Raw genomic sequence first — 26468 nt, 5'->3', positions numbered from 1 at the left:
CAGAATCTTTTTAAAGGAGAAACCAAGCACACTAGAAAAGTGGGGTCAAAAGTCCTGGGAGCTTTTAGCTTAAATCATCTTTAACTCCTCCCTTTCCTTCAAATTCCACATATCCCTTTGTCATTAAATCTTCTGTTCATTCTACCTCCTCAATATTTCTTCATGGTCCACCTCTGACATAACCCTAATTCATAATTTCTTGCCTGAATTACTTTAACATCCACTTATTTTGGTATCTTATTCACATTTTCCCCTTCCCCAGCTAGGTAAGATCTAGAAGAGCAACATTAGATAGCAAAAGGAAACCAAAGTTACGGATCTGTTCCTTCTCATTTATTAGTATAATTGGGAAAATTACTCACTTTCCTCAACTATAAAACGAGTATAATGAAAGCAGCTTTCTCACAGGCTGCTCGTGAGGCTTTCAGAATATATACATGGAAAACGTAAAACAATATATTATTATTGTTGTAGTTATTGCCTCACTTTGCATCCCAAATAGGGATAGAAGGTCATTATTAATACGTGTGTAGTTGATTTTATTTAGGCTATTATAAAATTATTTTGAGATTATTAGATGAATCTATATTGAAAAATTTAGAAAAAAAAAACCTTTTCTAAGACTTTTCTTTCTTTTTTTTTTTTTTGATTCAGAGTCTTGCTCTGTCGCCCAAGCTGAAGTGCAGTGGCGTGATCTTGGCTCACTCCAACCTCCGCCTCTGGGGTTCAAGTGATTCTCCTGCCTCAGCCTCCCAAGTAGCTGGGATTACAGGCATGTGCCACCACGCCTGGCTAATTTTGTATTTTTTAGTAGAGATGGGGTTTCACTATGTTGGCCAGGTTGGTCTCAAAATCCTGACCTCAAGTGATCTGCCCGCCTCAGCCTCCCAAAGTGCTGGGATTACAGGCGTGAGCCACCGTGCCTGGTCGCTAAGGCTTTTTTTTTTTTTTTTTTAGTAACTTTTAAATAGACATTTATTTATTTGTCAAATCACCTCTAAAAAGTTCCAAGAATGAAAAAGACAAGGACCCTCCCTCCCCAAGAACAGAGGCTGTCTTATTCCAGATGATACTGCTAACACGTAGAACCGTGTCTAACACTGAATTAGATGCTCCTAATTCAACAGAAAACATGTACACAGATATTTTAATCCATGGTAAGAAAAAAAAGACAAAGCAATAGGAGAGGTTCAAAGCAAACGCAGAGAAAGAAATGACTTCCTCCTATAGCATCATTTGTCATGGAAGAAGTAGCATCTTAACTGAGGGAGAAAAGGGGAGGGGGGAGAAAGGAAAAAGGCAAGAGGGGGAAGCGAAAGAGAGAGAAAGGAGAAACGTGAGGTCACATGGGCGTGGCGTACAACAGGAGAAGTCAGATTATGGGGAACCTTCAACGTCAGGCTTCGGAGTCTGCATTTTATCCTGAAAGGATAAGAAGCCTTTGGAAAATTTTAAGAGGAAATAACATGACCATACACGTGTTTTCAAAAGTATTAAGGGCAGGTGCAGTGGCTCATGTCTGTAATCCCAGCACTTTGGGAGGCCATGGTAGGAGAACTACTTGAGCTCAGGGGTTTGAGACCAGCCTGGGCAACGAAGTGAGGCTTCACTTCTAACAAAAAAAAATTAAGCTGGACATCATGGCATGCATCTGTGGTCTCAGCTACTTGGGAGGCTGAGGCAGGAGGATTCCTTGAGCCTGGGAGGTTGAGGTTACAGTGACCAGTGATTATGCCAATGCACTCCAGCCTGGGTGACAGAATGAGACACCATCTCCAAAGGAAAAACAAACAAACAAACACAAACAAACAACCAAGTATTAACCTGGAAGAAGCAGAAGAAAAGGACTGGCAAAGGGTAAAATTAGTTACAAATTAGCTAAGATGCTGTTGCAAAAACAAAGTGATAAAATAGAATAATTCCTGTGAAGAGAGAAGCAAAATGATGTGGAGATATGTCTCAAAGGTTGAAAAAGCTATGAGAGGCAAGGGAAAAAAAGTTGTTAGGAACAATTTAATTAGTTTCTGGCTTGAACAACTGAGTAAACGACATTTCTTGATGATGAAGATACTGAGGAGCATATTTGTAAAAAAAAAAAATGATGAGATGATTTTAGGTATGTTGAGGTCGTTTATGGAATGTTCAAGCTGTCAGGTGCAGTTGGCAGTTGATAGGGGCCCAAAGTTGGGAACAGAGATATGGGCTAGAGTAAACCACTTGTGTATTTATTTGTACTTGGACGTCATGAGCATATATTAATAGCGGCTGATGCCACTGAACAGATAACATTACTTTGGAAAAAATATAGGGGAAGAAAGTATAGAAGAAGAGAAGGGAGCTAAAAGTGGACTCATAGAGACCATCAGTTGTAAGGGAGAGAAAAAGGGGACTTCTAGGGAATGGCTAAAGACACAGGAGGAAAACCAAGGAAAGTACTGAAACAACCCAAGATCAACTGTCATGTGCAGACAACGTGAAGAAGTTCCCACAGAAAAATTTATTTGGGGGCTACATATTGTTTAATGTTATATAATCATGGGAATAAAAGACCTCTAAATCCTACTGTAGGTAACTCTAAAATACTTGTGTAAATATATGTATATTTTGCTAAAAGTACGTTAAAAAAACTTCATTGTTAGAACATAAAGATATAAGACAAGACTCTGGGGGATGGATCCACAAGACACATAAAAATCACTCATGACTTTAATAGAAATGTCTAGTATTTTTCTTTTCCAGAGTGGGCCTCAAATCATAAAGAGGTTATACATTTGAATTAATTTGGTAATTTGTAAATTAGGACATGAGATTTAGAATCAAAACAAGGCCAGTAATGTGGTAGATGAAATAATGTTAAATTGGGTTAATTTTTAATATTAGGTATAAAAAGAGTTAAATTTAAAATCCCCAGCATTTATGAACCAATGACTATTAACGAGGTAACATGTTAAGACATAATTTGTCACAAACTGAAATACCTCAGTTCTAGTAGGATGTACATCAGCTTATTATACATTATCCACAGATTTTTGGCATTATTAAAAAAAAAACCCACAAACTGTCTATAATTGAGCCTGGAGTAATGTGACTACGTCACACACTATTTCAGAGAAAAACACGCAGAAACAGGGAGTTCTACTTTCTGTTGGCAATCTATAACCTTTCCAAGAGGGAGAAATAATAAGTTTAAAATGACTGACAACATTACCCTGTGAACTATTCATAAACAGGGAAACTAAAAAATATCAACTTTTCAACCTAAAACATTTGCCCTTACAAGCAATTTCTTTCAAAAACTCAAGGGAGACTTTTTGTCTCTACGTCTAAAATATCACCTTTCAAACACAAAGAATTATAGTACCTAGTCTGTTCTAAATTCTTCTTGCATATAGTCTTTCTGGCTTTGATAAAGAATGCTGGACAAGGTATAGCTGGAAAATGGTACTATCAGGCAGGATCAAAACTTAGTTTGCATCCTTTTTTGACACAGATGAATTGCTTTTCTGCTTCAAAGGGTGAGCTTTGTCATGAATGCCTTCGGCACTGTAGATTCATGATTATCCCAGTCTGACTAGAAGTTATCACTTGATAAGCAAAATAGGAGAAATAATGGGACTTAATGCAGTTCATAATTAAATCTAATTTGAGAGGTCAAGGTCTTGGGCCAGATTCTGACTTACCTTTTTAAATTAGTGGTCTTTGAGTAAAATGTCTTGATTCTAACACCTTGTTCACTTTACCAGTCTGCAAATCAGTAAAACGGTGAGGATTTTTCTACCTTACTTTTGGAAAATAAAGATTCAAAGATAAACTGGTGAAAGTTCCTGGCATTCTTTCATAAAAAGAAATCAAAACTTATTTCCAGGATGACGACTAACTTAGGCTCATTTTCTCCAAAGGAACAAGAAGTTTTTGAATCATGAACATCAAAGTAGAAGATTGGCAGTTTCATACCACAATCATATCCCTGAAACCAGTAAGGTTTATCTGACTTCAGCAAATATCCAACTAAAGAGACTGTATACAATGGTAACAATTGATCAAATAAAGAAATGAGTCACAACCAAAGATGCAAACAGGTTTGGAGAAGCAAAAAGGAATGAATAGACAAACGGGTGCATATCTTATATTATAAAAGAGAAAAGAGAAACTATACTCATGAAAGAAATGAGTCAAAACTATAGTCCTTAGATTACTCTTTAGATGTCTACAAATTTTTGTTTATTCTATTTGTCTTTCAAGAAAGAGGAATAAATGGCATGGTCAATTCTAAGAATTACAATCTGAAATATCTAATTTGAAAAGTGAATGGAATCAAAGAAAGTTAAAATATATATAAAATTGTCTTTATTGAACTGTCTGGTCAAACTTCTGTCCTTCTAATATTAAATTTATAAAGTTTTATGAAACATGCCTCATTCATATGTTTACCAATAAAATCAGTTGTCGTGGCTCCTAAGGACTGTTTTCTTACAGCAGAGAAAATGCCAGTTAAACAGGATAAAGAATAAAGCCAAACTCAATGGATACTTGGCACAATTAACAATGTTATCCAAACCTCTGGACACAAACTCTTAGCATTTTTTCAACCTCGAAACTGGTTAAAAATAGTGCACTATGGGTTCCTTGAAATTTATCATCAAGCGAAACTAAGCAAGAAAGGCCCTGACAATTCAGCAATACAGACTCCCAGAACATTGATACGTTTTATTACAGCTTAAAGACAGAGGGAAACATGGGTGGGAATAATAGAATTTTTAAAACTTCTCAAAGTCCATGTTCTGCCTAAAACCGAAAAAGGGAAGCTGAAGAGCTTCTTGAAGACTAAAGCCAAGTCTTTACATAAGGAACGCTGAGTCATCAACAATAATTCATTTTTTTTCTACAAACAGTTGATTATTTTTAAAGTTCAGAGACTTTAAAAACTCACTAATATTCTATGTTTAACACACTTCCAGTAATTAACTTAAAACATTTTGTACATTAAGTTGCCTCCTGTGTGGGCTACAAAATATATGTGTATGAGGGGCGACTGCCCATGTGAGGTGGGGATGAATGGACTTGAAAATACTTCATTCACTTTCATGATACCTGAAGAAAAACAGGCAGTGGAGGCCTAAACTGAATTTGGAAAAGGAAAGATTCACCAACATTCATAACTGGAAACAAAATTGGAAGATTTACCTTAGGTATACTCATTATCTCCAATTAAGTTTGAGACCGCTAAGCAACATTCTAGGAATCAAATAAACAGGAGTAGCAAATAATTCTGGAAGGTCTAATCTGTCATACCATATGTATTGGATAATAATTTTAATGGAAAGAAGGAAGAGTTATTTTAAAAAATGAACTTTATATTCAAGCCTTGTTTCGGATGCTCCCTCTCTGACTGGATTACCCCAGTGACCGTCTCTGAGACTGAGGCCTCTGGCTTGTTACGTTGAGAGAAATAAAATATATATTTGTCTTTGGTGTCCATGAATGATAAGTTACACTTCTGACATGCATCCAGCAAAGTCTACCTGTTAACCTCCTCGAAATGAATTCTATGAAAAAGCAAAAATCTTGGCAGGCTCCAAAGTGAGACATGCCTTCTGTCTGGGTTCTTTTCCCTCCCAGTTGCTCCTAGGGTAGACTTTGGAGTTCATTATCACCTCATCAGTAGGTCTGTCAGCTGCCAATGACGAGAGAAGACTAAGTCACTCACTAATTCCTGGCCTTTTTGCCTTCTCCAGAGCAAAAGCAAATCCAGAATAGACGGATACGTTTTAAACCCACTATATTCACTTGCTCATTGTAATTTATCAGATCAATTAACTTAACTCAGAATAGGAAATGACTGACATTAGATATTCCTCTAAAGGGGCACTGTTCAAATACTGTTCAAGAACATCAAGATATGAATTAGCAGGGAGACAAGACCAATGACCAATCTTTGATGTACTGCTAATAACAGGGAGGTGGGAGGGCAGGGGGTGGTTCAAATAGGATGACAAGGGTTCACAGCTTAGAAGGTAAAATAGCAGAGGCGAAATTCCGGTAAAACGGGTGAAGATGTTGGGAAGCAGCAACAATCAGCCATACAGCTTTCAAGGTAAGGAGTAGTTTCATGTTGCACATTTAAAAGAAAAAATTGAAAAGACAAGAACAATCATTCCTTCTAAGCAAAATATTTTCCTAATGCCTTTTCTATTTTGGAGTGTGGTTTCAAGTCTTTAATGTGGTCACAGTTAATTTTCTGCAACAAATTTGCTATACTTTACCTACCCATACTCAGAGAAAAAAACTTAAAAGAACAATGAGAAAACGAACTCTAGGTGTAATATGTAAGTGAATGTATTCTAGTTACGATTTGTGATTTCCTTGTACAAACATAGCATTTGAGTCTCAATATTCACAAAACTCATGGAGTAATAAATCTCTGTGGCCTGTTTCAAATGGTGTGGCAGTGTAAGAATTATAGACAGTGACCATTTCTTTATTCTGAAATATAATTTATATAGATACCACATGTGTACAGAAGTGCCCTGAAAAACTGCAATATGTAAATGTAAGAAGTTATTTTCCATGTTAACTAATATCTTACATTGGCTGTCAGGAAAGCTAATATTCAAAGTGAAGGCACAACAAATCACATGTAATTTTATATAACACAATACTTTTGGTTGTAGCCTTTTTTTTTCCCCATTACCAGCAAGCACCATACTTCAACTCATCAAGTGCGTTGACATTAAAATTAGAATTATTCGGGCTTTAGACATTGCACACTTACGTCCAAAATTATTTGTCAAATGTTGAATAGTCACATAATTAATTCCCCACAAAATATACAGTCTATACCAATTTGAGCCCTCTTTTATAAGACATAAGATTACAACATAATTTTTCCCATCATAGTGAGGAAACAGCTTGGCAATAAGAAGAGAGATGAAACAGAAAGTAGGTTTCCTAATTCCTAGACCAGTTTTCTTTTGTATCATCCACTGTCAGGGCATACAAACTCATATTAATCTTTAATCAACAAAACTAAGGAAAATCAGGTGTGAAAAAGGAAGTCAGAGATAATTTGAGATAACTGAATTAATCCAGCAAAATCAAGGATATTTTGGCTGTTCTAAAATGGACAAATTAAGGTCGCCAGGCTGGAGAACCAAGTTAAAAGTTTAGAAAATATAAGCAAGCTCAGAATGGAAAAATGATGACTGAGACAAGTTATGTCAGATTTCAATCAGAATAAAGAGCTTAGAATTGGAAAATTTTATCAGGTGAGAAAAGGTCAATCTAAAAGAAACAGCTGAGAATTATGGAATTATCATTATTAAAGATGTTTAGACTAGAACTCAACATACCCCTCTCTGGCATGGGTTTGTGTAATAAATGTTTACTTCTTAGCAATTTCTGTAAGTGCTAGATTTTATCAGGATTGAAGACAAACTGATAGTTGTTGCTCATTTTTTCTCATAGAAAATTGTACAAATGAAAGTAAATTACTATGGATGCTGCTTGGTATAATGGAAAGAATCTAGCTGTAATCAAAGTGATGGATCCAGTCTCAGTTCTATCACTAAATTGGCCTTTTGACTATGCACAGATCACTTAGCCATTCTGAGTATCAGTTTTCCTAAGAGAATGGAAAGGAAGAAGGAAAACCAGCATGTAGTGAGAGCCTACTATCTACTGTACATTCTCAGTTAGTAATACTCATTTTATGTTTACAGCATTCTTATGAATTAGTTATTATTATGCTCATTTTAAGTGATAAAACTTGGTTCAAAAAGACAAATTTGCCTAAGTATATAATAAGTATATAATCCTGCGTGAGCACGAGGACACTTATTCAATCTACTATCACAAACTTAAAAGCAGATGACTACTTATCAAAGCATCAAAACACAGAGGATGCCTTGATTAGTGGGTATAAAACATATTACCACTGCCGAACGTGGTATGGAAAGATGGAAAGCTTTTCATCTCTATTTCCTTATTTTTAAAATGAAGTAGTAAAAACTCCTTCCTGTATTCTAAAGATGTAATGCATTGATCCCCGTTTGTTCTTATAATCATTCCTTTCAAGGAATATGCTATGAACTTGGGAGTAACTTTGTCTTTTGCTTAATTTTATTAGCACAAAAGGAGATAAATGCTTCTCACAGTGTAGATGTGTACTGTGAATTCAATAAACTTATAGAAGAGATGTAGGAAATGGTTACGAAAGCCAAACATTGGTTTTATATTGAACACTCAAGTATTATTTATAAAGGCTTCTAAAGCAACTGCATGCTTTCCCAGTATATCACCTAAAGCCATGAGTAAGATACTCTATTTGAAGTGCCCAAAGAGAACATTCATCAGGAAGAGAACAAGCTTTAGAGGTCTCGAGTTTCTAGGAGTGAAGCCATTTTGCCTTTAAATTATACTCAGAAGTAAAACATAATTCAAAACAGAAGCTGCATTTTCCATGCTGACAACTCTATGTATAATTGATTAAATAAAAGCATCATTGACAAGTAGGCTCCGCATTGTATGAATACAACAGGCAATTGCTACCTTTACAAGAAATATCTGTGCCACATATGGCACAATATAGAGCAAAATATACACACACACACACACACGTATCATATGCTGGCCACAGTGTCACATAATTTCACATACAATTTTGCATTTAATTCTCATAATACTATCAAACAGGCATTTACTAGCTTCATTTACATACATGTGGAAACTGAGGCTCAGAGTAAATTAAATGTTTATGTCCTGTTGTGACCTAAGTCACAGTGTACCCTTAATTTTAGTTCTAACTTGAAACCTCATTTTCCCCCGCACTCGCCATGTTACCATGTGTGCCTGCACATGGATATTCTTATACCCTTCCCCTTGTAAACAAATGGTAGCATACTGTTTTACATCTTCCTTTTCCATTTAACACTATCAACTAGAGGCTGGGAGTGGTGGCTCATGCCTGTAATCCCAGTACTTTGGGAAGCTGAGGCAGGCGGATCACGAGGTCAGGAGATCAAGACCATCCTGGCTAACACGGTGAAACCCCGTCTCTACTAAAAATACAAAAAATTAGCTGGGCGTGGTGGCGGGCGCCTGTAGTCCCAGCTACTCGGGAGGCTGAGGCAGGAGAATGACGTGAACCCGGGAGGCAGAGCTTGCAGTGAGCCCAGATCGTGCCACTGCACTCCAGCCTGGGCGACAGAGTGAGATTCCGTCTCAAAAAAACAACAAAAACCAAAAAAACACTATCAACTAGAATTACAAATACATACTCCCTTTGTTACATTTTGGAATTTATCCTGCAGATATACTTGCATACATGTGAAATGACTTTTGTAATAAGGTTATTCTTATACTTATGAAAATTCTGCATTACAAATTTGTTAAAATTCTGTAGCATTGAATGTAATGGCAAACTGTTAGAAGTAACTTAAATGTTCATTAATGGAGGACTAATTAAATATAATACTATGGAATACTACTCTGCTGGAAAGAAAAGGGTGAGTAATGGTGTAGAAAGATATCTCAAATATAAAAGTCAGCAAAAATGTAAAAGATGGATAGTATCCACTACACCTAACAATTAAGGAGATGCACACTTTCATACACATTTGGGTGAGAGCACATGTGGGGTAGAGCCTTTTATAAGAGTGCTTGAGCAACAGTTTTCAAAATAAAATACGCCATTATGTTTTGACCCAGCAACTCCATTATCTATCCTAGAAAAATATGCTTACATATGTGAAAAGATGCAAGTATAATGATTTTCTTTACAGTATTATCTGCAATATTACACAACTGGAAATAACCTAAACAATCTTCAACCAAGAAAGGATGAAATAAATAATGCAGTATCTATACACTGGAACACAAAGCACTTGTTAAACAGAATGCAACAGATCTTTATGCTGACTTTAAAAAATAACCATGAATATTCTTCCACTGAAATATAAATTGCAGAACAATATATCTAACATTGTATATATAAAATCAGAAAAAAGGTAAAAATAAGAAGCCGCCCCCCTGCATACAAACACACACACAAGTATTCTATATGCTATTCCATTTCTATCATAGCTTTAGGTACTTTGAAAAGTTATTACAGGTAAGGGAAAAAAATACAGAATTTAAATATGCCAAGCACATTTTTGTGATGGTCCAAAACAATTACCAAAATTCTGAGGCTTTCATTTTCTAATGATGAACTCAATTCATGAATTTGTTTCAATAATGATACCAAAATGTAACATATATGAGCCTAAATGGAAAGACAAAATCTGAAATACATCATTACAATAAAGTCTTGCTAATAAAATAATCCAAGTGATATTTTAGTACTAAAATTTATGGGACTGACCAGCTATGCATGGATAATGGTTGTTTATTTACTTGAAAGAAAATAATAAATATCTCATATCATACCTAACAGTATCCTGCATATACAGAGAGCTTAGTACATAAATAGGAAAAAGCAATGTAAGAAACAGAAATTGTGTAATATAGAAACTCAAACTGAATCATGTGATAACAGGCACATGCTTTGGGGGTGAGTGAATGAGAATTTTTCTATTTGGTATACGAAGGAAAGCAGAAAGCTAACAAACAGAGGTAAATACTATCCTTAAAGCGAATATAAAAAATATACTCACATATAATAAGGGATGAATTAAAATCAAATTTTATTCTTAAAGTTTCACTCTTAGCAGAACTGGATAGTATCACTGTTGACTTTTAAAGCAATAAAACTGACGCTGACTTGAGATGAAGGGATGAAAAATGAAGAAAGTATCACTATAGAACATAAAATAGCAGAAAGCAAGCATCAGTTCAGAAGTCAGGAACATGGAATAAATAGGACAAAGTTCTGTGCTTTGTGAACCTTCCCCCTTTATTGAGGAATGGCATTTTCTGACACATAATTACTCCCACAGAGGAAATGCTTTTCCATAACCTCTTCTTCAAAATTACAAAGAGCTGAGAATTACACAGTAAATTTCTGGCAGTTAACTTGGAGAGACTGTTGCTTGGAGCTGCTGCACCCAAACACTGAGCTTCTCAGCAAACGGCCTGCTGCAGCCCGTAAACTGATCTCTGTGGAGGCCTCACCGAGAGACCCACACGCTCTGCAGCTCAGTGCCAACAGCCTTTCAATGCTCCAAAGCTTCACTTGCAACTCTGCATAAATTGCCAGTTTCTCTTGGCTCCAGAGACAGCTTCACCTGCAGGGTTTCACTTTTCTGTCTGACACCTTAATGTTGATTTTCCTACGCACTACAAAAGAGCCCTCTCCAGTGCTTCTCACACAATTACACAATCACTCTATTGTAAGTCAGAAGAGGATTAATGATTGAGTTTTATTTGATTATAGTCTTGATTAATCCTGACTTTGTTTAATTTGTGACCTTTGCTGGAATCCCAAGGGCTGGGAATTAGAAAATGCACACTGTACCACTGTACTCCGAACAGTTTGAGCTTGCCAATTTATTTCATGCCTCATTAGCCACAAAAGCTATAAAATTTTAGTCCAAAAACAGTTCCACATTTTTTCAGAGTACGGGTACAAAATTTTGTATGAGCTTTTCATTTTGATTTAAATACAGTAAGCCAATAATTAAGTCTACCCTAGTTATACCCATAGGGTTCTAATTCCAACTGGCAGGTATCTCAGCAAAATACCAAACCCCAGGCAAGTCACATCATGATGCAGCTGCCCTGATTTCCCAAGGCTCAGATTTAGTTTTTGTGAAGGGCAGAAAAAATAAAATCTGCTTTTAAAAAATCCTCCCAAATTACAATATTCCTTGATAAACAAATCTTAAAATAGATATCACATCATGGAAATTTTAGTTCTAACTTGAAAGCTCATATATACTTATTTACTATTTGAGAATAGTATTTGTAAATTTTTAGTTATTTACTATTTCAGGATTAGGTCTTTTAAAACATTTTTATAAATAATTTACAATATACACATGCTACATAAAATATTTACCTTTTAGAGTTCCCAGAATCAGCAAATTATTTATGAGAAACTATAGAAGAAGCCCCTTTATGTGACACTCAAGTCTGCTAGGTGATTAACTAAAATATTTCTTAAAGAATAAAGAAAGTATATAGAGAGTGTTTTGCTGCTTTGAAGCTGCTTTGCTGGTTTTTCATTTAGACGAGATCCAAAGATCACCATATAATCTGATGACTTAGGTTCAGTATTGTCTTTTTCACATCCTTTTCAGCTCTGGTTGTGTGAAAGTGGGGCTAGTCAGTATGCAGACATTTGAAATACAATGCCAATTTCAAACTGTGAGGTTTCAAAAAGTCTCCCAATATTCAGTAACTGTTAACCTAATTCAACAGCAGCAATTTTTTTTTGGATTTACTTTTTTTAAAATTATACTTTAAGTTCTGGGATACACGTGCAGAACGTGCAGGTTTGTTACATAGGTATACATGTGCCATGGTGGTTTGCTGCACCCATCAACCCATCATCTACATTAGGTATTTCTCCTAATGCTATCCCTTTCCTAGCCCCTGATCCCCCGACAGGCCGTGTGTGATGTTCCCCTCCCTGTGTCCATGTGTTCTCACGGTTCAGCTCCCACTTATGAGTGAGAACATGCGGTGTTTGGTTTTCTGTTCCTGTGTTAGTTTGCTGAGAATGATGGTTTCCAGCTTCATCCATGTCCCTGCAAAGGACATGAACTCATCCTTTTTTATGGCTGCATAGTATTCCATGGTGTATATGTTACACATTTTCTTTTTTTTTTTTTTTCGTTTTTGAGACAGAGTTTCTCTCTTGTTGCCCAGGGTGGAGTGCAATGGCATGACCTCGGCTCACTGCAACCTCTGCCTCCTGGATTCAAGCGATTCTCCTGTCTCAGCCTCCTGAGTAGCTGGGATTACAGGTGCCTGCCACTACACCCAGCTAATTTTTGGTATTTTTAGTAGAGATGGGGTTTCACCATGTTGGCCAGGCTGGTCTTGAACTCCTGACCTCAGGTGATCCACCCGCCTCGGCCTCCCAAAGTGCTGGGATTACAGGCATGAGCCGCCATGCCTGGCCACGTGCCACATTTTCTTTATCCAGTCTATCATTGATGGGCATTTGGTTTGGTTCCAAGTCTTTGCTATTGTGAACAGTGCTGCAATAAACATACGTGTGCATGTGTCTTTATAGCAGCATGATTTATAATCCTTTGGGTATATATCCAGTAATGGGATTGCTGGGTCAAATGGTATTTCTGGTTCTAGATCCTTGAGGAATCGCCACAGTGTCTTCCACAATGGTTGAACTAATTTACACTCCCACCAACAGTATAAAAGCGTTCCTATTTTTCCAAATCCTCTCCCGCATTAACAACAGCAATTTTGAAATGACTTACCTGCATCCCTTTTCCAAAACATTTTGCTTTATTTCACAGAGATATTTTTTCATATGAGTATGTCATTGGTTTCTTATAATAATAAAAATATATAATTAAAATATCAAGAATAGCTGGAATAAATAACTTTTCAGCAATAATACAACTAAACAGGTTAACAGAGCCATGCCTGGTATATGTGACAGTAATCTAGTAGCTTTTTCAGCATGCTCTGAGCAAAAATTGGCATGGTTAACAGAGAAAAGAAAGTCTCAACCTGACAAGTAGTTATGAATTAAGTGGAAGGTGGTTTAAAAAGCTTCTCATATATTTAATAGTGTTCACTGCTCAGTTAGCCTAAAAGTGCCCATTAGCTATAAAAAGATGTTTACCAGCCGGGCGCGGTGGCTCAAGCCAGTAATCCCAGCACTTTGGGAGGCCGAGGCGGGTGGATCACGAGGTCAGGAGATCAAGACCATCTGCCTAACACGGTGAAACCCCATTTCTACTAAAAATACAAAAAATTAGTCGGGCGTGATGGCATGCACCTGTAGTCCCAGCTGCTGGGGGAGGCTGAGGCAGGGGAATGGCTCACTGGAGGTGGAGCTTGCAGTGAGCCAAGGCTGCACCACTGCACTCCAGCCTGGGCGACAGAGTGAGACTCCGTCTCAAAAAAAAAAAATGTTTACCATTTCATACTGTAAATTCACGTTTCTAGAAATGATATTATTGTTATCAGTTTTGTAAAGTGATGAAACACCCATGATTCACTTCACTGTCTTTCTATGAACTCAATTATACCATCGGTCCCACCTTGTCTCTTCTTTCCTCTCTCTCGCTCTCTCTCTCTCTGGCTTTCTCTCTCTCTAATGTGCCATTCAGAAATAAAACTAGTAAAAAAATAAGTCTGAGAATAAATTTGGGAAGAGGCACAACTTCATGTTTTAAAATCCTGTAGATCCGCCCACCTCGGCCTCCAAAAGTGCGGATCCCCTGAGGTCAGGAGTTCGAGACCAGCCTGGCCAACATGGTGAAACCCCGTCTCTACTAAAAATACAAAAATTAGCTAGGCGTTGTGGCGGGCACCTGTAATCCCAGATACTTGGGAGGCTGAGGCAGGAGAATAGCTTGAACCTGGGAGGTGGAGGTTGCAGTGAGCCAAGATCACACCACTGCACTCTAGCCTGGGTGACAGAGCAAGGCTTCATCTCAAAAAAACAAAACAAAACAAAACAAAAAAACTGTAGAAAACTTCTGAATATGGGCTGGGCGCAGTGGCTCACTTCTATAATCCCAGCACTTTGGAAGGCCGAGGTGGGTGGATCACCTGACGTCAGGAGTTCAAGATCAGCCTGGACAACATGGTGAAATCCCACCTGTACTAAAAATACAATTAGCCAAATGTGGTGGTGCACACCTGTAGTCCCAGCTACTTGGCAGGCTGAGGAAGGAAAATTGCTTGAACCCGGGAGGCAGAGGTTGCAGTGAGCAGAGAGAGTGAGACTCCATTCTCAATAAATAAATAAACAAATAAATAAAAAAGAAAGAAAATTTACTGACTAAAATCCAATGAAGACAGAAGCAGAAGTCTTTATGGCATTAGACCATTTGGCAAGTTTCATTTGGAAATACTTCATTGACATAGTTAGAAAACTACTTCTGAAAGTTGGGAGAAGAGTTAGGAAGACTGGTTGTAGTAAAGATAGAGCCCAGAGGTAAAATAGACAAGACCAAAATGGACAGACAGATTGAAACAAAAATTAAGATATGAACAAAGAAATAATTTTTATTTTTAAAAGATTGCCATTATCTTCCTAATATAAGGTAAAACGAAAACATATTAAATGTTCATGGCTTAGATTTTCTAAAAGAAAAAAGCTTTGACAGTAAATTACATATTTACTTCTTAGAAAGCTTCACACAAATTACTACAGTAAAGAAAAAAACTGGCTGGAGTTAAAAATACCTTATGTCAATTTACCAGGGTCAATCATTGTGTGCTTGTCAAAAATTCAGGTAGGAAAGTTCCTCAAAGTAGAATTGCAGGGTCAAAAGTTTTTGCGCATTTTTTAAAACCTTTGATAAATACACCTAGTTGCCCTCGTTTACTACTTCAGACTATCTTTACACTCAAATACTTGTTTCTTTATATTCTTATTGCCACTGGGTATTACATCTCTGCTACTATGTTACATTTTTAGAAAGGAACTTTTTATTTAAATTTAATCTTCTTTTGTCATAAGTGAGGCTTAATATTTTCTTATAATTTTATTAGTCATCTGCGTGTATAGTTTTGTGAATTGCTTGATTATATTCTTTGCCTACTTTTCTATTATGATCAATGTTCTCATTTCATGGATGGAGAAACAGAGGCCCAGATAGGGTAAGTATTTTTCTTAAGGCTTTATAGTAAATGAATCACCTCTATGGAGTTAAAAATTTAAGGAACCTTCTCATCTTTCTAATACAATAGGAAATACTGATGAAGTAGACAGGATGTGGGTTAGCATGTCAGCAACATAGACTCACCATACCCTCCAGCCCATTATCACTACCACACACTTTAATTTAATTTAATTTATTATTATTATGTTTTTAGACAGAGTCTCACTCTGTTGCCCAGGCTGAAGTGCAATGGTGTGATCTGGGCTCACAGCAAACTCCGCCTTCCAGGTTCAAGCAATTCTCCTGCCTCAGCCTCCCGAGTAGCTGGGATTATAGGCACCTACCACCATGCCCGGCTGATTTTTGTATTATAGTAGAGACAGGGTTTCACCATGTTGGCCAGGCTGGTCTCGAACTCCCGACCTCAGGGGATCCGCCCAGCTTGGCCTCCAAAGTGTTGGGATTACAGGCATGAGCCACCGTACCCGGGCAAAAAAAAAAATTTTAGAATATTTAATACTTCCAGAAAAATACTGAAACGTCATAGGATAAATCAAAATGTTTTCGGTCTTTACATGTATTTTTTTCAATTTTTTGTACAATTTGATTTACATATGGGAGGTGATTAGCCTCTTTTTGGTGGTTGGTTAGTGCCTCTAAAGGTCTTATTCTAGCCTTGTAAGTCTATCTAGGATAGATAGAATTAAAGCAATATATGGAGTTATAACACGTTTCTGAACAGGAAAGTTGAATCTCTGTTTAATATCCATCCACTCCATCAACATCCTTTACTAACGGAATCTGGATTTTGCACTGGATAGTCACTGCCCAACTAAAACGTGATATTCCAGCCTCCTTTGCAGCCTGTTGTGTATAGAGGGTGGGCACGCTACAAAGTTCTGGCCAGTAAGAAGAAGAAATCTAGTGGGTGGGTCTTTGATATGGTGATTGTTGTTTAACCAGTTGGCACGTCCCTTTTCCCCCTTGTCTTTCTTCATATTCTGGAATATGTAGGAAAGGCTTCTGTATGCCACCATTTTGCAAGCAGGAGGAAGAAGGCCATATACTAAGGATAGCGGAAAAGAAAGAGCCCAGAACCATTGGTATCATGGAGCCACTGTAGCAGCCCCAAATTGCCTATTAATAGAATAAACCCTTATTCTATTAATCTTTTCTTATGGTTTTATTGCAATAGGAGCATCTTTTGGATGTTCATTAAAAATGAACTAAGAGAACCCTAAGTGATACTGCTGTAACCTGCCAAAAGTAATGATGGAGAGTTAAGAAGACTGGCTGCCAGGAATAACATGATAAATGTTACAGTGAAAGTGGCTGCAGGAGAGACAGAAGGGGACTTTAAAAGTAGAACTTTTAAAAACAAGCTCAACTCATGAAAGAAATGACCAACTCATAAATATAGTGGATGACTCAAGCCTAAAAATACATGTAATTTAACAGAAACAATTATCTTGGAAGTGAGGTAAGAATCAACCAAAGTCAATATATTAAATGTCTATATGTAAAAAAAACTGCTTTGGCCGGGTGTGGTGGTTCACGCCTGTGATACCAGCACTTTGGGAGGGCAAACTGGGCAGATCACTTGAGGTCAGGAGTTTGAGACGAGCCTGACCCACATGGTGAAACCTCGTCTCTACTAAAAATACACAAATTAGTCAGGCATGGTGGCAGGCACCTATAATCCCAACTACTCGGGAAACTGAGGCATGAGAATCACTCAAACCCGGGAGGTGGTTGCAGTGAGCCGAGATCCCGCCACTGCATTCCAGCCTGGGTGACAGAGGAAAAAAAAAATTGCTTTACTTCTCTGAGAAACAAATAATACAATGTCAAGGAGTCAGAGGTGCCATCAGTGGGTTAGGAGGACACAAGCAAACAGACTGACTCTGGCAACTGATTTTCTTTGATACCTTTACTGCTTAAAGCTAGAGGTCAAGCTCAAGGTACTGAAGAGACAGCAGCATAAACTTCAAAAGAAAAAGTCAATATGGGGTATGTGATCATACCACTGATTACACAGAGATGTCAGGAACTCCACTTACTCCTGTAGCTGTTGATGAAAAAATAGAAATAGTAGCTACAAGCAGCAGAAAATGTGTTTCTAGGAGAAGAAATTATGCTGTCCAACCCCTGCACTGAGATGCAAAAGACAAAATCATGTTCTTGAGGAAAAATGGGGACATAGTTTTCAAATAATAAACTATATATTGGGTAGCATAAGAAATAATTAGTTTAATTTTACATAGTGGAAATTCAATCATATAAAGTCAATGGGAAAGTTTTTATACTGCTCAAATTTTATCAAATTTCCTATCATCCAGCTGGTGAAAAGACTTAGTTTTGGCCACGTATCTCCATAGAAAAAAAGACAAAGCATGGCTACTTCAAGTGAAATAGCCAGAAAAATAACTGATAACTCTATGAGTAAAGCAATTGCATCTTTTTGAGGAATCAATAGAATAGTGCTTGCACATTTTATGCCAACTGGATCGGTACCATTTCCAAGAATTTCTGGTCTAAAATAAGTTGGTAGTTGCCTGATACACGAGAAAAACTATTACCACTTCACATACATAGAAAAAAAAGACTGTTTCAGATGCTCACGGGAAAAAAAGGTCCCCATTAATAGGACAACTATGTATTTAGGTTAGAAGTGACAATAAAAATTAGGTTAATAAATTATTTTCCTATAAATAAGAAAGATCAAAGGCATATCTCTCTTGCTATCTTAGGCATATAAAATCCTTTTTACTAATCAACTAAGGCTGATCTCATACCTCTAATCAACTAAGGCTGATCTCATACCTCTAACACTACTGAAGTTTGACAAAAACAAACATTGATAAATTTAATGTTGTATCAACAGAACAGGGGAGAGAAGTCAGTGGTCAATTTTTCTTGCCAAGTAGTTTTGTCTGTTTTACGGCTCTTAGAAATTCTAGGATGCCTAAGCCAGTGCAATTAAGTGACACAGGCAGAATTCAAACCCTGGTGTATCTGTTTTTAAAGTTTGTGCCAGAAAGGATACCTAACTACTAAAAGTTACAAAACATGAACTTGATTATGGACCTCCTGTATCCTTATAAAATGTTTCCTTTGTTAAGGTGATATTCTCATTCTTCACATTTCTGTGCCTATGTTTCTTGTCTCCCTCCCTTGTGAGTTATATCATTGGCAGATTTTGAAGAAAGAGGTGAACACACTCAGTTCAGCCCCTTCTGCTCTCCCCTCTTCAGACCTGGCTGCTTATGCAGAAGGTCCATCCTGTTCTACTCTCTGCCACGCAGTAAGAAGCCTGCAGTTATGCAGCTGTGCTGGTGGCAGGAGTGATATACTAGTGAAGCTACTTGGCTGCAAATATAAAGTCATGTTCTCTAATCAGCTTTGTCAGTAATGACGATAGTATTTTCATCTCCCTTATTTTGACTCCCGTTTACTACTCAACTGGATCCAGATTCAAGAGGATAAATACGGAAAATCTTTGGCAAGGGATACACAATCTATCTGCCCAAGAGCAGAAATTCAGAAAAGCCTTTTGACTGTATGCAGTACCCTTTAGAGCACAGAACTACTGCATCTCCCTAATTTCCCAAATGTTTTAGCCTCTGATTATTCATTGAGATTCTAGTAATAAAGCAGTAATTACTGATCAAGAACTGTTTAAATGGCCAGGCGCGGTGTGGCTCCTGCCTGTAATTCCAGCACTTTGGGAGGCCAAGGCAGGCAGATCACCTGAGGTCAGGAGTTCGAGACGAGCCTGGCCAACATGGTAAAACACCATCTCTACTAAAAATACAAAAAAATTAGATGGGCCTGTTGGCGCGCACCTGTATTCCCAGCTACTTGGGAGGCTGAGGAAGAGGCAGAGGTTGCAGTGAGCCGAGATCGTCCCATTGCACTCCAGTCTGGGAGATTAGAGCAAAACTGTTCCTCAAAATAAAATAAAATAAAATAAAATAAAATAAAAAAGAACTGTTTAAAGTGTTTTACATGTATTAACTTCCTTAAAATCCCCTCAGCACTAACACGGTGAAACCCCTTCTCTATTAAAAATACAAAAAATTAGCCAGGCATGGTGGCGGGTGCCTGTAGTCCCAGCTACTCAGGAGTCTGAGGCAGGAGAATGGCGTGAACCCGGGAGGCAGAGCTTGCAGCGAGCCAAGATCGCACCATTGCATTCCAGCCTGGGCGACAGCACGAGACTCTGTCTCAAAACAAAACAAAACAAAACAAAACAAAACAAAAGAAAACAAATCCCCTCAGCACTAGGTACTATTACAAATTACCACTCTATAGACGAGGAAACTGAGTAACTGAGAGGTTACATAACTTGCTTACAGTCACACAGACAGGAAATGGTGAAGGCCATTTTAAAGTCGTCAGTCTCTCGAGTCTGTGACCTTAACTAGTTTCCGTCAGTTCAGTAGGTCTTAAGGAGACATTAAAAAAAAAAAAAAAAAAAGTCAGAGTGCACATAATGAGAATACTGTTTTGTTAAATACTTATTTCACTATGTGTGTGTCTGTTAGAGCAAGAGTGAGAGATAACGAAGAGACAAAAAGGGAGAGAGAAGGGGGAAGGTACAGAATACTTTTCTTATTGGGGTCAGAGTAAAAAAATAGGCCATGCTGTCTCTCCACAGGTGGGTGAAGAAATTCATAATCATTCTGATAACAACCTAGTATATGATTTACTCACTTCCCCTATAGTCTGACATACTAATAATTATTCCTAAACTAAGATGTCATCAATACTTATTATTAGATAATCTTACTATCTACAATACTACCACAGTTCCCAAATTGTGCACTGCAGCACCCCAGGGAACTCACAGGGGTACTGCAGAGCATTTTAAATTTTGAGAAACACAGTGCTGTCAGACAGTGTGCAAATTACTAGCTTGTGGTATTTCACAGTTCAATACGACATCATGCAAAATTATTGTTCATGATATTCCATCTCTTCGAAATTGAGTTTTTGATGGTTGCGGTGTATCTTAGTCTATTCAAGCCGCTGTAACAAAATATCATAAACTAGGTAGCTTATAAACAACAAAAAATTACTTCTCACAGTTCCAGAGGCTGGAAAGCCTAAAATCAAAGTGCTGTAAGATTCAGTATCTGGTGACAGTCCGCTTTCTGGTTCACAGATGGCATCTACTCACAGCTTTTCTCACACAGTGGAAGGGGCAAATGAGTTCTCTGGGGTCTCTCCTACAAGGACACGAATCCCATTCATAAGAACTCCACCTTCAAGACCTAATCACTCCCAAAGGCTCCACACCTCCTAATATGATCACCTTGGGGTCAGAATCTCAACACATGAATTTTGGGGGGACATAACCATTCAGACCGCAGCACTGTGACTAAAAGCACAGCACAGTTCTGCACAGAAATTAGCGTGGAACAAGAAATGAAGTTGGCAGTGGCCAATCTGATTCCAAGGTTTAAAAAACTGTGCCATGCCCAACAATCACACATTTGATGAGTAAGTAATAAGAAATTAAAATATTTTCTTTCAATTTATTATTACTAATATGTCTATTATTTTTTGACATGATTACAAACTGTTGGAACACAACAAACTGTTAGGAACTGTTAAGTATTTATTTTGGTCTAAAAGTCACGAAAAATTTAGTGATTGTGCTAGAACCAAGTAATGTTGGGAACCTCTGTCCTACTGCCAAGAAACTGACTTCCTTTAAGAAAGCTGTAAGATAATGTCTACCATCAAGTTTGAAGAATTTTCAAGTATTCTTTCAATTTATGCATGCAGAACAACATAAGCTGCTTTAGTTTTTTATTGAAATGTCCTAATTTTAATATAACTGAATAAAAGCATTTTTTTTTTCTTTATCTCAGGTCTTTATTTGCTGCTAATCTGTTGCAATACTCTGGGATTCATAGGAAATTTGCCTGTGAAGTAACTGCTACCATTCATGCAAATAATAATAATAATAATAATAACAATAGTAACAGCTAAAGAAGAAACAGAACCTCACCTATGAACACATGACTGTTTGGCAGCCCACTGATTCTCCTCTCGCCTCTATCCCTGTCAGAGGTTAGGACACTGCCCTGTCTTAAGAGCTACACTACTAGTTTTCAAATAATAAAATGATGTCTTATATGCACAATGACCATTCACACAAATGTGACCTTTGAGGTTTATCTCCTGATGTTTTGAACTGTTGTCAGTATTCAGATGGGATTTACAATGAATCAAAGCTACTGCTGGTCACACTACATTACATCTACAATGGAGTGCAATGAGATACCATAATATTTTCATTTGGTACTTTTTATTAGCCTACAGTTCAGTTCAGTTCTAGTCAATGAAATACACAGTACTTTTTAGGTTGAAAGCCTCTATTTATAATACTGCTTTAAGAAGCTTAGATGGAGGAGGAATACCACAGAGGACATTGATCCTCTGACCTAAAAAGCAAGTTAAAAATGCTCAATTTTAAATAAAAAAATCTTGGGTAGCAAAAAGGAATCATCAACTTACCTAAACAGTGATTGGTGACTAACTAAAGGGGCGCTCGGGCATTAGTTTAAAGCAAAAACCAAACACAGCTCTGGAACCGTCTTAGGTTTTAAAAGTGAAAACAAGAATATAATTTTTAGCAGGACGCAGAAAGGATGCACCCACAGCTAAAAGTAGTAGGACAAGCAGCTGCAACAGAAAAACTCCTTCAAACCAATGACATCCAAGTTAACTGCAGAAAAGTCACTTCACTCAATTTCAGTGTGCAACTTCTATTTAATCCCAACTACTAATAAACAACAAACACCTCACCTAACATGTTTACAGGGCCTGTGGACTCATTATTCATACAACACCACAAAGTGGGCAGCAGGGAGTTGAAAAGAAAGAAAATTCATGCCAAGTCAACCCAGGGTCAAATCACCAAGAACTTATTTTACGCAATACTCATTAAACTCAGTTATTCTTTTACTTATTGGTCCAAAATTAAATGACCTGATTAGCTATCTTCAGGAAAAAAACAAAGTTGATTTATCTTTCCCTTTAAGACAATCAATCCAAAGAAACTGACAACAGCTGAGCTTTAGTAAAACAGGTATCTTCTTAGCGATCAAAGAGATGAGACACAAATGAACACTGACGTGTCATAAACAGTCTCTAGGGCCTCACTTGCTCCGGAGCCCGTCAGCACTTCCCAGGATGCCAGCTGGGAAGAAGAGGGCATGTGCCCACAGTATCTCCATCTGAAACCTCCCAACTACAACCATGCCAAAGATCACCTATTGTTTGCCTGTGATATATCCATAAAAGTTTATATACATAAACTTTGCAATTATTTGGGTACTTTCTAACAGATGAAATTACAATAAAATGAGTAATTAACTCACTGAAACATGTATAGATGTCTGGTCAAAAAACTGTCTGGGCCTGTCTAAAAAAAACAAAAAACAAAAAACAAAAAAAACCCAACTTTCTGATTAGGCCTCTTCTACAATTGGAAATTACTGACAGCTTCACACTATATTATTTCATAAAATAGGATTTCATCCCTAGCAAGCAGAGCTGCAGCATCTACTTAATAACATAACAATTTCATTCATCTCCCGATGTCTTAAATTGAAGCACTGAGGGGTTTAGCTACATGAACTCTGCCAATAAAATAAAACTACAACAAAAAAATCAGACCTAGAAATAAAAAGAAATGTTTTCCAATACAGTTTTACATGGAGAGATGGAAATACACAAGCACAGTGTGTCTGTCTTATCTCCACAGGAAATTAGCAACTGAACGTGGTTTACTCCTCCAATTTTCTACTTCAGTATTAACGGGTGGAGCAATTGCCACATGGAACAAGCCCCTTTAATACCACCTGGTCTACTTCCCAGCAGTAAGTTCCACTCCCAGGCCTGTCATGGCTCATTTAAATAGTACAGTATGCTCCCTCTGTAAGTCTGCTCCTAGAGCTTAGAGAATTTAAGATATAATGAGATACGAAGGTGTTTATCATGAGGTAGAATGGAACTCTGAGCCAAAGCAACAGGAGCTGGATGTCATGAGCAGGCTGAGAACCGAAGGTTTTTTTTTCTTTAAAGTATACTGGAAAAATAAACTATTCCAGAAGACACCATAAAGTTTGGGTAAAGGCAGAAGTTTTAAGCAGAAGTAACTCTTACAGAAACTCAGGAAACAAAATAAGATTTCAGAAATAGAGATGAAGAGCAGGAAGTACATCTTTCATCATTGCCTTCTGCTGCCTTTCCACAGAAAACTGTTGTTTAAGAGAGCTGTAATTCATCCCATCCCATAAGCAATGGCAAAAACTTTGCAACAGATATATATCTAAAAAGCAACAATCAAATCCATCTGATGGATTTTGAAGACTTCAGGAAGAAAAAGAATGATTACAAAAATAACAGTTGACAAAAATTAGGAGAGAAGGAGAAAAAAATCCTAACAGACTGAAAATAAATTAGCTTAAATTGGAACTTGTACTTGTGATAAATATTGTGAAGGAACCCAACATGACCCTCCCCTCTTGCTCCAAACTCATAAAAATAGTGCATAAAAAGAAAATAATAATTAGGTATTGAGCTTTAGCCAAAGCAGGAGAAGTGCTAATAACAAAGAATTCAGTTATAGCTGATGAGTTTAAGTGGAAATAACTTACGGGGGTGGGGCGAGGGAGCGGTAGGTTAAAAACTGGGTTATAAGCCTTAGGGAGGAGATCCCAGGACTGGGGCTCAGGAGGAGATGGAACTAACCTTTCTGCATAAAGTTAAAGAAAGTCACAAAGGTTGACTATCCCTGTAAAAATAGAGACCTTTAGAAAAACTTTACTTACTAGCCCAATGAAGCAACAAAGACTCTTAGGCTATGGGTAGGAAAAGAATTACTCATTAGAAATCACTGATGCATGAGAGACACACAGAATCCCAAGCACAGAAATTAACATAAAAACTGGTCCAGAAAGAGTGAGTGTACTAAGTCCCCAGAGAGAGAACCTGGACGCTGCTCTGAAGGAACAGGACTCCCAAGGAAAGTAGCTCCACAGAAGCACAGCTACCAAAGATTAGAAAACAAGTCCTCGTTTAAGAGTTACAACAAACAGGCCGGGAGCAGTGGCTCACGCCTGTAATCCCAGCACTTTGGGAGGCCAAGGTGGGTGGATCCGGAGATCGAGACCATCCTGGCCAACACGGTGAAACCCGTCTCTACTAAAAATACAAAAAATTAGCCGGGCGTGGGGGCGGGCGCCTGTAGTCCCAGCTACTCGGGAGGCTGAGGTAGGAGAATGGCGTCAACCCGGGAGGCGGAGCTTGCAGTGAGCCGAGATCACGCCACTGTACTCCAGCCCGGGCAGCAGAGCGAGACTCCGTCTCAAAAAAAAAAAAAAAAAAAAAAAAAAAAGAGTTACAACAAACAGAAGACTTCACATTGTAAAAACTCGAAATAATAGAACTGTGTTAAAGGGCCTTTAAATAAGCATAACAGAGGTTCTCCTAACAGAATGCCAATTATCAGACTCTCCAGATCAACCAATATTCTTTCTCCCTTCCAATAAATTGGCTGACACCCAGGCATATTGAAAGATAGCAACTCAGAGACAACCGAAGACTCTTTTGGCTGCTTAACCAGTTGTGCTTCCAACTGTTTTTCATGTATCTTGCCTTCGCAGAGTGCCTTAAAGACTATCTCTAAACCTCAGAGGTAGGTGCTGATTAGATTAGGCCAAGAACGATAATCCCACTTTCCCTCCTCAATGACTTGGCACGGGACTCTGTCTAGCCTAACAGATGTGAGTAAAAGTCTACTGTTGGGGGAGGCTGGATATCAGGACTTCTGAGAAACATTTTCATATATCTAAGGAAGAGACCTAGGAACACTCAAAAGGATGGCATCACTTGACACCAGCCTGAGGACAAAAATCAACAGTTCAATGCCAGTACATCTGGTCAGTGGATAGTTTTAAAATCTTGACTGTAGTGGTATTTACACCTCCTGTGTTTTCCTTTTATAGACTATGTTTTTTCACCACAATACAATAATACTGTGAACTCCACAACAAATACCTCTCTCCCAACTCCCAATTTTATGAAATGAAACCACCACACCCTAAATAGGTTAAAAAGAAACACTCAGGAATCCAGAGACTTCATCATACATGAGAAAAAAAAATCTAGATATATATCAAACCTTGGATATAGCTAATGGAATTCTTTTTTTTTTTTTTTCTGAGATGGAGTTTTGCTCTTGTTGCCCAGGCTGGAGTGCAATGGCGTGATCTTGGCTCACCATAACCTCTGCCCCCGGGTTCCAGCAATTCTCCTGCCTCAGCCTCTTGAGTAGCTGGGATTACAGGCATGCGCCACCACACCCAGCTAATTTTGTATTTTTAGTAGAGACAAGGTTTCTCCATGTTGGTCAGGCTGGTCTCAAACTCCCGACCTCAGGTGATGCCCCGCCTTGGCCTCCCAAAGTGCTGGGATTACAGACGTGAGCCACCACGCCTGGCCGATAGAATTATTTTTATTTATTTATTTTTTTTTTTGAGATGGACTCTTGCTCTGTCATGCAGGCTGGAGTGCAGTGGCGAGATCTCAGCTCACTGCACGCTCCGCCTCCTGGGTTCATGCCATTCTCCTGCCTCAGTCTCCCCAGCAGCTGGGACTACAGGTGCACGCCGCCACACCCAGCTAATTTTTTTTTGTATTTTT

At 37.9% G+C, this 26468-nt stretch overlaps 1 protein-coding gene across 54 annotated transcripts in view, besides 1 other annotated feature; it reads right to left on the bottom strand.

Moving 5' to 3' along the window:
• Positions 1 to 26468, bottom strand: part of ERC1 (ELKS/RAB6-interacting/CAST family member 1) — a 505975-nt gene that overhangs the window by 165993 nt on the left and 313514 nt on the right. The window lies entirely within an intron of this gene.
• Positions 25828 to 26370: an enhancer, noted in NCBI's record as "H3K4me1 hESC enhancer chr12:1412737-1413279 (GRCh37/hg19 assembly coordinates)". NCBI's record gives its function as "activates a minimal SCP1, AML or CMV promoter by ChIP-STARR-seq in naive H9 embryonic stem cells {active_cell/tissue: H9 hESC(naive)}" and the evidence as "EXISTENCE:reporter gene assay evidence [ECO:0000049][PMID:30033119]".

Source organism: Homo sapiens, chromosome 12 (assembly GCF_000001405.40).
Source record: "Homo sapiens chromosome 12, GRCh38.p14 Primary Assembly".
NCBI lineage: Eukaryota > Metazoa > Chordata > Mammalia > Primates > Hominidae > Homo > Homo sapiens.
This window is presented reverse-complemented; position numbering and strand designations above follow the sequence as displayed.